Genomic DNA, 12,396 nt, shown 5'->3' with positions numbered 1-12,396 from the left:
GCTGTGGGGAAGGAATTGCTATTGCTCAGCCGCTAGATCAATTCTCTGAAGATATTTTATGAGTCTAAATGACTAAATAGCTCATAAAACTTTAAGATGCACGGCAATAATCTTACAAACCTAAAAGACAATGCCAGATGCAAAACAGAAATGCTCATTAAATTGTGAAAAGGAAAGACTGATAACCAGTGTTTAATAGGGTGAGATGCCAATGAAGTGCATATTTATGATGGGGACAGTATTTTCCTTTTATATTTCTTTTCCTGATATTACATAAAATGCAATACATGCCCATTTTTAAATATTTGGAAAGTAGAGAAAAGAATTAAAGTGGTAACAATCATCCAGTTTCCACAGCCTAGAGATAACCTTCTTTTCTTTTTTTTATTTAAGATTTTTATTATTATTATACTTTAAGTTCTAGGGTACATGTGCACAGCGTGCAGGTTTGTTACATAGGTATACACATGCCATGTTGGTTTGCTGCACCCATTAACTCATCATTTACATTAGGTATTTCTCCTCATGCTATCCCTCCCCCAGCCCCCACCCTATGACAGGCCCTGGTGTGTAATGTTCCCCACCCTGTGTCCAAGTATTCCATTGTTCAGTTCCCACCTATGAGTGAGAACACGTGGTGTTTGGTTTTCTGTCCTTGTGATAATTTGCTCAGAATGATGGTTTCCAGCTTCATGCATGTCCCTGCAAAAGACATGAACTCATCCTTTTTATGGCTGCATAGTATTCCATGGTGTACATGTGCCACATTTTCTTAATCCAGTCTATCATTGATGGACATTTGGGTCAGTTCCAAGTCTTTGCTATTGTGAACAGTGCTGCAATAAACATACGTGTGCGTGTGTCTTTATAGTAGCATGATTTATGATCCTTCGGGTATATACTCAGTAATGGGATCACTGGGTCAAATGGTATTTCTAGTTCTAGATCCTTGAGGAATCACCACACTGTCTTCCACAATGGTTGAACTAGTTTACACTCCCACCAACCGTGTAAAAGCATTCCTATTTCTCCACATCCTCTCCAGCATCTGTTGTTTCCTGACTTTATTGATCGCCATTCTAACTGGTGTAAGATGTTATCTCATCGTGGTTTTTGATTTGCATTTCTCTGATGATCAGTGATGATGAGCATTTTTTCATGTGTCTGCATAAATGTTTTCTTTTGAGAAGTATCTGTTCATATGCTTTGCCCACTTTTTGATGGGGTTGTTTGTTTATTTTTTCTGGTAAAATTTGTTTAAGTTCTTTGTAGATTCTGGATATTAGCCCTTTGTCATATGGGTAGAATGCAAAATTTTTCTCCCACTCTGTAGGTTGCCTGTTCACTCTGATGGTAGTTTCTTTTGCTGTGCAGAAGCTCTTTAGTTTAATTAGATCCCATTTGTCAATTTTGGCTTTTGTTGTGGTTGCTTTTGGTGTTTTAGACATGAAGTCCTTGCCCATGCCTATGTCCTGAATGGTATTGCCTAGGTTTTCTTCTAGGGTTTTTATGGTTTTAGGTCTAACATTTAAGTATTTAATCCATTTTGAATTAATTTTTCTATAAGGTGTAAGGAAGGGATCCAGTTTCAGATTTCTACATATGGCTACCCAGTTTTCCCAGCACCATTTATTAAATAGGGAATCCTTTCCTCATTGCTTGTTTTGGTCAGGTTTGTCAAAGAGATGGTTGTAGATGTGTGGTGTTATTGCTGAGGCCTCTGTTCTGTCCCATTGGTCTATATCTCTGTTTTGGTACCAGTACCATGCTGTTTTGCTTACTGTAGCCTTGTAGTATAGTTTGAAGTCAGGTAGTGTGATGCCTCCAGCTTTGTTCTTTTTGCTTAGGATTGTCTTGGCAATGCGGGCTCTTTTTTGGTTCCATATGAACTTTAAAGTGGTTTTTTTCCAATTCTGTGAAGAAAGTCATTGTTAGCTTGATGGGGATGGCATTGAACCTATAAATTACCTTGGGCAGTATGGCCATTTTCAAAATATTGATTCTTCCTATCCATGAACATGGAATGTTCTTCCATTTGTTTGTGTCCTCTTTTATTTCGTTGAGCAGTGGTTTGTAGTTCTCCTTGAAGAGGTGCTTCACATGCCTTGTAAGCTGGATTCCTAGGTATTTTATTCTCTTTGCAGCAATTTTGAATGGGAGATCACTCATGATTTGGCTGTTTCTCTGTTACTGGTGTATAAGAATGCTTGTGATTTTTGCACATTGATTTTGTATCCTGAGACTTTGCTGAAGTTGCTTATCAGCTTAAGGAGATTTTGGGCTGAGATGATGGGGTTTTCTAAATACACAATCATGTCATCTACAAACAGGGACAACTTGACTTCCTCTTTTCCTAACTGAATACCCTTTATTTCTTTCTCTTGCCTGATTGCCCTGGCCAGAACTTCCAACACTATGTTGAATACGAGTGGTGAGAGAGGGCATCCCTGTCTTGTGCCAGTTTTCAAAGGGAACGCTTCCAGTTTTTGCCCATTCACTATGATACTGGCTGTGGGCTTGTCATAAATAGCTCTTATTATTTTGAGATACATTCCATCAGTACCTAGTTAATTGAGAGTTTTTAGTGTGAAGGCTGTTGAATTTAGTCAAAGGCCTTTTCTGCATCTATTGAGATAATCATGTGGTTTTTCTCTTCGGTTCTGTTTATGTGATGAATTATGTTTATTGATTTGTGTATGTTGAACCAGCCTTGCATCCCATGGTGAAGCCAACTTGATCGTGGTGAATAAGCTTTTTGATGTTCTGCTGGATTCGGTTTGCCAGTATTTTATTGAGGATTTTTGCATCGATGTTCATCACGGATATTGTTCTAAAATTCTCTTTTTTTTGTTGTGTCTCTGCCAGGCTTTGGTATCAGGATGATGCTGGACTCATGAAATGAGTTAGGGAGGATTCCCTCTTTTTCTATTGATTGGAATAGTTTCAGAAGGAATGCTACCAGTTCCTCCTTGTACCTCTGGTAGAATTCGGCTGTGAATCCGTCTGGTTTTGGACTTTTTTGGTTGGTAGGCTATTGATTATTGCCTCAATTTCAGAGCCTGTTATTGGTCTATTCAGAGATTCAACTTCTTCCTTGTTTAGTCTTAGGATGGTGTATGTGTCCAGGAATTTATCCATTTCTTCTAGATTTTCTAGTTTATTTGTGTAGATGTGTTTGTAGTATTCTCTGGTGGTAGTTTGTATTTCTGTGGGATCGGTGATGATATCCCCTTTATCATTTTTTATTGCATCTATTTGATTCTTCTCTCTTTTCTTCTTTATTAGTCTTGCTAGTGGTCTATCACTTTTGTTGATCTTTTCAAAAAATGAGCTCCTCGATTCACTGATTTTTTTGAAGGGTATTTGTGTCTCTATCGCCTTCAGTTCTGCTCTGATCTTAGTTATTTCTTGCCTTCTGCTAGCTTTTGAATTTGTTTGCTTTTGCGTCTCTAGTTCTTTTAATTGTGATGTTAGGGTGTCAATTTTGGATCTTTCCTGCTTTCTCTTGTGGGCATTTAGTGCTATAAATTTCCCTCTACACACTGCTTTAAATGCGTCCCAGAGATTCTGGTATGTTGTGTCTTTGTTCTCATTGGTTTCAAAGAACGTCTTTATTTCTGCCTTCATTTCATTATTAAACCCTTAGTCCTTCAGGAGCAGGTTGTTCAGTTTCATGTAGTTGAGCGGTTTTGAGTGAGTTTCTTAATCCTGAGTTCTAATTTGATTGCACTGTGGTCTGAGAGACAGTTTGTTGTGATTTCTGTTCTTTTACATTTGCTGAGGAGTGCTTTACTTCCAACTATGTGGTCAACTTTGGAATAAGTGGGATGTGGTGATGAGAAGAATGTGTATTCTCTTGATTTGGGATAGAGAGTTCTGTAGATGTCTATTAGGTCTTCTTGGTGCAGAGCTGAGTTCAATTCCTTGATATCCTTGTTAACCTTCTGTCTCGTTGATCTGTCTAATATTGACAGTGGGTGTTAAAATCTCCCCTTATTGTATGGGAGTCTAAGTCTCTTTGTAGGTCTCTAAGGACTTGCTTTATGAATCTGGGTGCTCCTGTATTGGGTGCATATATATTTAGGATAGTTAGCTCTACTTGTTGAATTGATCCCTTTACCATTATGTAATGGCCTTCTTTGTCTCTTTTGATCTTTGTTGGTTTAAAGTCTGTTTTATCAGAGACTAGGATTGCAACTCCTGTTTTTTTTTTTTTTTTGCTTTCCTTTTGCATGGTAGATATTCCTCCATCCCTTTATTTTGAGCCTATGTGTGTCTCTGCATGTGAGATGGGTCTCCTGAATACAGCACACTGATGGGTCTTGATTCTTTATCCAATTTGCCAGTCTGTGTCTTTTAATTGGGATATGTAGCCCATTTACATTTAAGGTTAATATTGTTATGTCTGACTCTGATCCTGACATTATGATGTTAGCTGGTTATTTTGCTGGTTAGTTGATGCAGTTTCTTCCTAGCATCAATGGTCTTTACAATTTGGCATGTTTTTGCAATGTCTGGTACCAGTTGTTCCTTTCCAAGTTTAGTGCTTCCTTCAGAAGCTCTTATAAGGCAGGTCTGGTGGTGACAAAATCTCTCAGCATTTGCTTGTCTGTAAAGGATTTTATTTCTCCTTCACTTATGAAGCTTAGTTTGGCTGGATATGAAATTCTGGGTTGAAAATTCTTTTCTTTAAGAATGTTGAATATTGGCTCCCACTCTCTTCTGGCTTGTAGGGTTTCTGCTGAGAGATCCGCTGTTAGTCTGATGTGCTTCCCTTTGTGGGTAACCCGACCTTTCTCTCTGGCTGCCCTTAACATTTTTTCCTTTATTTGAACTTTGGTGAATCTGACAGTTATGTGTCTTGGGGTTGCTCTTCTCAAGGAGTATCTTTGTGGTGTTCTCTGTATTTCCTGAATTTGAAAGTTGGCCTCCCTTGCTAGGTTGGAAGTTCTCCTGGATGATAGCCTGAAGAGTGTTTTCCAACCTGGTTCCATTCTCCCATCACTTTCAGGCACACCAATCAAATGTAGATTTGGTCTTTTCACACAGTCCTATATTTCTTTGATGCTTTGTTCATTTCTTTTTACTCTTTTTTCTCTAAAGTTCTCTTCTCGCTTTATTTCATTAATTTGATCTTCCATCACTGATACCCTTTCTTCCACTTGATTGAATTGGCTACTGAAGCTTGTGCATGCATCATGTAGTTCTCATGCCATGGTTTTCAGCTCCATCAGGTCATTTAAGGTCTTCTCTACACTCTTTATTCTAGTTATCCATTTGTCTAACCTTGTTTCAAGGTTTTTAGCTTCCTTGCAATGGGTTAGAACATGCTCCTTTTGCTTGGAGAAGTTTGTTATTACTGACCTTCTGAGGCCTACTTCTGTCAACTCATCAAAGTCATTCTCCATCCAGCTTTATTCCATTGCTGGTGATGAGCTGTGATCCTTTGGAGGAGAAAAAGTGCTCTGGTTTTTAGAATTTTCAGCTTTTCTTCTCTGGTTTCTCCCCAGCTTTGTGGTTTTATCTACCTGTGGTCTTTGATGTTGGTGACCTACAGATGGGGTTTTGGTGTGGATGTCCTTTTTGTTGATGTTGATGCTATTCCTTTCTGTTTGTCAGTTTTCTTTCTAACAGTCAGGTCCCTCAGGTGCAGGTCTGTTGGAGTTTGCTGGAGGTCCACTCCAGACCCTGTTTGCCTTGGTATCACCCGGCGGAGGCTGCAGAACAGCAAATATTGCTGTCTGACCCGTCCTCTGGAATCTTCATCCCAGAGGGGCACCTGCCTGTATGAGGTGTCAGTCAGCCCCTACTGGGAGGTGTCTCCCAGTTAGGCTACACAGGGGTCATGGACCCACTTGAGGAGGCAGTCTGTCCGTTCTCAGAGCTCAAACATCATGCTGGGAGAACCACTGCTCTCTTCAGAGCTGTCAGACAGGGACATTTAAGTCTGCAGAAGTTTCTGCTGCCTTTTGTTGAACTATGCCCTGTCCCCAGATGTGGAGTCCATAGAGGTAGCAGGCCTTGCTGAGCTGCAGTGGGCTGCGCCCACTTCAAGCTTCCCAGCTGCTCTGTTTACCTACTCAAGTTTCAGCAATGGGGGACACCCCTCCCCCTGCTAGGCTGCTGCCTGGCAAGTCAATCTCAGACTGCTGTACTAGCAGTGAGCAAGGCTCCGTGGGTGTGGGACCTGCTGAGCCAGGCGTGGGATATAATCTCCTGGTGTGCCATTTGCTAAGACCATTGGAAAAGCACAGTATTTAGTCGGGAATGTCCCATTTTTCCAGGTATAGTCTGTCACGGCTTCCCTTGGCTAGGAAAGGGAAATTCCCCAACCCCAGGTGAGGTGATGCCCTACCCTGCTTTGGCTCGTCCTCTGTGGGCTGCACTCACTGTCCAACTGGTCGCAGTGAGATAAACCAGGTACCTCAGTTGGAAAAGCAGAAATCACCCATCTTCTGAGTAGATCACGCTGGGAGCTGCAGACCAGAGCTGTTACTATTCGGTCATCTTGGAACGGGACCATAACCTTATTTTCTTATACCCTTTCATTGTACCTATTTTTCAGATAGTTGAGGTTCTATTTCTCTCCCTCCCACCCTCTATTCCTCTCTAGTTCTCTATTATCTTGTGTCATGCTTTTTCACTTACTGTTATATCATGGTCATTTACTTATACCATTAAATATTTATAAATGTCAGATTATAGTAGCATAATATTCATTCATATAAATGTATGATGATTTAACCTTCTCCTAATATTAGATAATTAAATAATTTTCCTTTTTGTTTTGCTATCATAAATAATACTTAAATAATTATTTTCATCCATGAGCACTTGTCACATTTACTACTATTATTTTCTGAAGATGGATTCCTATAAATAGAGTTACAGGATCTAAAGGTTTTTTGTTTTTGTTTTTTGTTAGAGACAGGATGTCTCTCTGTTGCCTGAGCTGGAGTGCAGTGGCACAGTCATAGCTCACTGTAGCCTCAAACTCCTGGGCTCAAGTGATCCTTCCACCTCAGCCTCCCATGTTGCTGGGACTACAGGCATGTGCCACCACACCCAAGTAATTTTTCTATTTTTAGTAGAGACAAGGTCTCACTGTGTTGCCCAAGCTGGTCATGAACTCCTGGGCTCAAGCTATCCTCCTGCCTCGACCTCCTAAAGTGCTGGAATTACAGGAGTGACCCACCATTCCCAGCCTAAAGTTATGATCATTCTTAAAACAATAAAAACTCCTAATTACCTTTCCAGAAAAGATAGTCCAATTTAGACACACTAGCAGTATACAAGATTAACAAGCTTTCTTCTCCCTTATTCTCTCCCAAGTTGTGCTTATTTATGCCTAAGAGCCTCCATCTCCACCTAAACTCAGAAGGCCCATGTGTTTATATCTCCTGTCTAGACCTTCCCCAGAGTCATACTGCCTATTGACTTCTGCTCTTGAGTATTGCCAAGGAATCTTGATGTGAAAAACTGAACAGGTGATTTACAACTTGGTCTTCTTCCAATGTTCCCATTTTAGTGGTGTAATTCAGATACTTTAGGGGTATTTTGGACACCTTTCACTCTTTATCACCTGTCTTCCATTTTACTACATAAAAGTGTCCTCTTTAAATTGTTATTATAATCACCTCTCTTTTGGACTATTATTATACAATAGCCTCCTCATTGGTCTCCCAGAATCCCATGGCCTCTTTTAACTTGCTGTCTGATTTTTATAGTTTTAGATCTTACATTTAAGTCTTTAATCCATCTTGAGTTAATTTTTTTATAAGGTGATAGGTAAATGTCCAGTTTCATTCTTTTGCATATGGCTAGCCAGTTATCCCAGTACCATCTATTGAATAGGGAGTCCTTTCCCCATTGCTTATTTTTGTCAACTTTGTCAAAGATCAGATGGTTGTAGGTGGGGAACTTCAGAAGAAAATCTAGAAAATACCTTCCTGGAATTGGTCTTGGCAAGAATTTATGACTAAATACTCAAAAGCAATTACAACAAAAATAAAAATTGACAAGAGGGACCTAATTAAACGAAAGATCTCCTAGACAGCAAAAAAGAAACTATCAATAGGGTAAACAGACAACCTACAGAACGGGAGAAAATATTTACAAATTATGCATCAAACAAAGGTCTAATATCCAGAATTTATAGGGAACTTAAATAATTCAGTAAGTGAAAAACAAATAACCCCATTAAAAAGTAGGCAAAGGACATGAACAGACACTTATCAAAAGAAGACATACAAGCAACAAAAAAAAACATGAAAAAATGCTCAACATTACTAATCATCAGAGTAATGCAAATCAAAACCATGATGAGGCACCATCTCACACCAGTTAGAATGGCTACTACTAAAAAGCCAAAAAATAACAGATGTTGGTGAGGCTGAGGAGAAAGGTGAACACTTATGTGATGTTGGTAGGAATGTAAATTAGTTTAGCCACTGTGGAAAGCAGTCTGTAGATTTCTCAAAGAACTAAAAGCAGAACTACCATTTGACCCAGCAATTCCATTACTGGGTATGTATACCCAAAGGAAAATAAATTGTTCTGCCAAAAACACACATGTGCCTGTATGTTCATTGCAGCATTCTTCATAATAGCAAAGACATTGAATCAACCTAGGTGTCTGTTAATAGTGGACTGGATAAAGAAAATGTGGCACATATACACTATGGAATACTATGCAGCCCATAAAAAGAACAAAGTTATGTCCTTTGCAACAACATGGATGGAGCTGGAAGCCATTATCCTAATAATATTAATGCACAAACAGAAAACCAAATACTGCATGTTCTCACTTATAAGTGGGAGCTAAACATTGGGCACATATAGACAAAGTTGGGAACAATAGACACTGGGGATTACTAGATGGGGAAGGAAAAAGGGAGGAAGGGTTGAAAAACCACCTACTGGGTACTATGCTCACCACATGGGTAATGGGATCATTTGTACACCAAACCTCAGCGTCATGTGATATACCCATGTAACAAACCTGCACATATAAAATAAAGTAAGTTGATATTAAATAAATAAGTAAATTTGTTATCTGCACTGAATCTTCATGATCTTCTGAAGTAAGACACTCCGATGGTTATGTGCTATTAGGAAAAAGGCCACACTCCCTATGATGGCCCACAAAGCCCCCAGGGTCTGGGCAGTCATTATGTTCCTCTCCAGTTTCTTTGAACACTTTGCTCTTTCTGTGCCAGCCACCTTGGACTTCTTTAGTTCCTCGTGTGTCAGATGTGCCACGCTTACTTCCAATGCTTTTGAATATGCTGCTCTCTGCCTGCAGCTGTCTTTCCATCTCTCTTTGCACAGTTAATTCCTACTCTATCTTGGGATTTCAACTCAGTCATCACTTCATCAGGCATCACTTCCCTGACAGTCCTACCAGGCCAGCTCCTCTGTCATACATTTTTCCCCTTTCTATTATATTTACCTTTCCTTTGTAGCACTCATCACAGTTGTGATTTCAGAATTATGCATCTGTTTTTCTTTTTATCCTTCTTTCTTTTCCTTTCTTTCTTTCTCTGTCTTTCTCTCTCTCTCTCTCTTTCTTTCTTTCTTCTTTCTGTCCTTCCTTTTTTTCTTTCTCTCTTGCTTTTATATTTAGTTATGTATTTTCATTAATGTCTACCTTCTCAACTAGCCCATAAACTCCAATGGAAAGAGAAATGTATCATTTTTATGTTCAACATTATATCCCCTGGGGATTCCGGGAAGATGATGGCTTAGGAGTGTTCCATTTCCTCTCCACTTCTTACTCAGTTCAAACAGGTCCTCTTTTCTCAAGTCAAGCAGATATTGGGAGTGGTACTCAGGTAGACAGGGTGTGAGCAAGACATCTGTTGTGGCACTTTCTAGCTTTAGGACAAGAACCAGCAAACATCAGATTCTTGGTCGAGCTGTCTTTGATGACTGCAGGACCTTTAAGTGGGCCTGACTCTCTGGTCCTAAGAAGGTGTGGAGGGGCTAAGTTTTTCTACTCTAATGCAGAAGGCTCCCCTGAGTCTCCCATAGCAGTGCCTATTACTGGCCCATGACAACTGAGACATCTGTGCCTTCCCACACTTGTGGGACCAGCCCACTTAAAGCGTCCAGCAGTTGGACTTGTGCCATGAAGAACAAATGAAAATGAAAGGATACCTAAAGAAGCTAACAGTCAGAGAGGGAAAGAATGAGGAAAGCAATCACAGCAGTCCATCAATGAAGGAGAACCTTTGGGGAAAGCAGAAGACAGAAGAAAATAAGGACTTGAAGAGGCACACGAACAGCATTAAAAAAGACTTCCTAGAACTAAAAAGTCAGATTTTTAAATTAAAAAAATTAAGTAGATAAATAGCAAGAAAGGCTGATCATTGTTGAGACTAGAATTAGCAGCTTTGAAGATCTAATAGAAGTGGAAAAATATAAAAGGACAGAAATGATGAGGGTGTGGAGGAAAGACCCAGAATGTCTAACTTGTGAACAAGAGGAGTTCCAGAAAAAAAGAAAAGGAAGATAGAAGGAGAAAAACAATTATAAAAGACATATTTTTTTAAAAAGAAGCTTTCCCTGAGATTTAGAAAGACACAAATATGTACATCAAAAGTACAATCAGGTGGAATTAATGAGAAAAGATACAACTGAGGCATATGAAGTTCTAATAAAAAAGTATAAAAGAAAAATGTGAGAAACATACTCCCAGATAAACCTTGTATGACAGAAGAAACCAAAAGTAAAAATTATTTAGAAAGCAATAAAGATATAAACGCTTCATATCCAAAGGAGCAAAGGCTGTAGGAAAATGTATAACCTTAAATATGCTCATCATTTAGAAAAGAAGGTTGGTATTCATCTAGATAAATTATAAAATGATTTTTAAAAAATAAAATAAACCAACAAAGAGAATTAACACAGATTAAGGCCAAAATTAAGGAAATAGGAAATATAAAAATAACAGAGGTTAAGGACATCCACAAGTATTTTCCCTTTACCAGTAGATAATACACTTACAATCCTAATTAAGGGGGGAAATGGGAGAAAACAAAAGTATACAAGATTGCAAATGAGAAACAATAGGATAATGACCACAAATATAGAAGAGGTTGAAAAAATTAAAATATTATATGCAACCCTATGGCAAAAAATTAAGAATCTAGAATAAATTAACAATACCTTTAAAAATACAAATTACCAAAATTAACTCAAGAAGAATTGAAAAATCCAAGTGTTAGTATTTAACAAAACACTACCAAAATTAATAAGATGCTATTTTTTTTTTTTTTTTTTGAGATGGAGTTTTGCTCTGTTGCCCCGGCTGGAGTGCAGTGGCATGATCTTGGCTCACTGGAGCCTCCGCCTCCCAGGTTCAAGCGATTCTCCTGCCTCAGCCTCCCAAGTAGCTGTGATTACAGGAACATGCCACAAGGCCCAGCTGAGTTTTGCATCTTTAGTCTAGATGGGATTTCACATTGTTGGCCAGGCTAGTCTCGAACTCCTGACCTCAGGTGATCAGTCCGCCTTGGCCTCCCAAAGTGCTAGGATTACAGGCGTGAGCCACTGTGCCCGGCCAAGATGCTATGTTTAAAAGGCTAACATTAACTGCAAGATGAAAATATACAAATCAATTGCTTTTCTCAGTACTACAAATAACTTAGGAAATGGGAAAAGACTCCATTCACATTAGGAGCAGAGCCTTTAAAATACATAGAAATGAATTTTTTTAAATTAAGGAAATGATAATATCTTATTGAATAGCACGAAACAAACCCTTATAATTGGAAAGGGAGGTGTGACATCACCAGGATGGTGGAAAAGAAGGTCACCTGCTAATATTCCCCTACAGCAACAAGAATTCCACATCCCTGTATAGTCAGAAGTCTCTTTCTGGGAGCCTCAGGATTCAGGTAGGAGTTTGTGAAACACTGATGAAGCCCTAGACATAGGAGGGTTGTTTTGAGAGTATCGAATGACACTGAGGTGGCTGATCCACCAAGCTTGCTCCCAGGTTCAAACCTGGAAATGACCCAGTCCCCCAAGGGCCTTGGCTACAGACCATTTGGCCTTTGAGCCTGCAATCAAAATCATCTGCCAAGGGGTCCAGAAGGAATCACACAACTAGTGCTTTGGTGGAGAGACTTGTCTGAATGCTGGCATCATCTTGGCAGTGAACTGAATGTTGCCCTGTGGCTCTGCTCCAACCCCTCTAATAAATTAAAAGGGATATTTGGATGACTTGATTTGATTACACTGTACCCCAAGGTCTCACAAAGTGACCAGCACTAGTAGGTATTCCATAGATATTTATTGAGTAATGAATCTCATACGCATAAATATTGACTGTCATCTTTAAAGTATGTTTGCTAATTTTATAACTTAAAAGTGATTCTCCATCAATGGTTG

At 39.2% G+C, this 12,396-nt stretch overlaps 1 protein-coding gene across 19 annotated transcripts in view; it reads right to left on the bottom strand.

Annotated features, from left to right (window-relative positions):
* Positions 1 to 12,396, bottom strand: part of DNM3 (dynamin 3) — a 576,969-nt gene that overhangs the window by 110,041 nt on the left and 454,532 nt on the right. The window lies entirely within an intron of this gene.

The sequence above is a fragment of the Homo sapiens genome, chromosome 1 (assembly GCF_000001405.40).
Source record: "Homo sapiens chromosome 1, GRCh38.p14 Primary Assembly".
Taxonomy (NCBI): domain Eukaryota; kingdom Metazoa; phylum Chordata; class Mammalia; order Primates; family Hominidae; genus Homo; species Homo sapiens.
The sequence above is the reverse complement of the archived record's forward strand: the minus strand, read 5'-3'. Positions and strand labels throughout refer to the sequence as shown.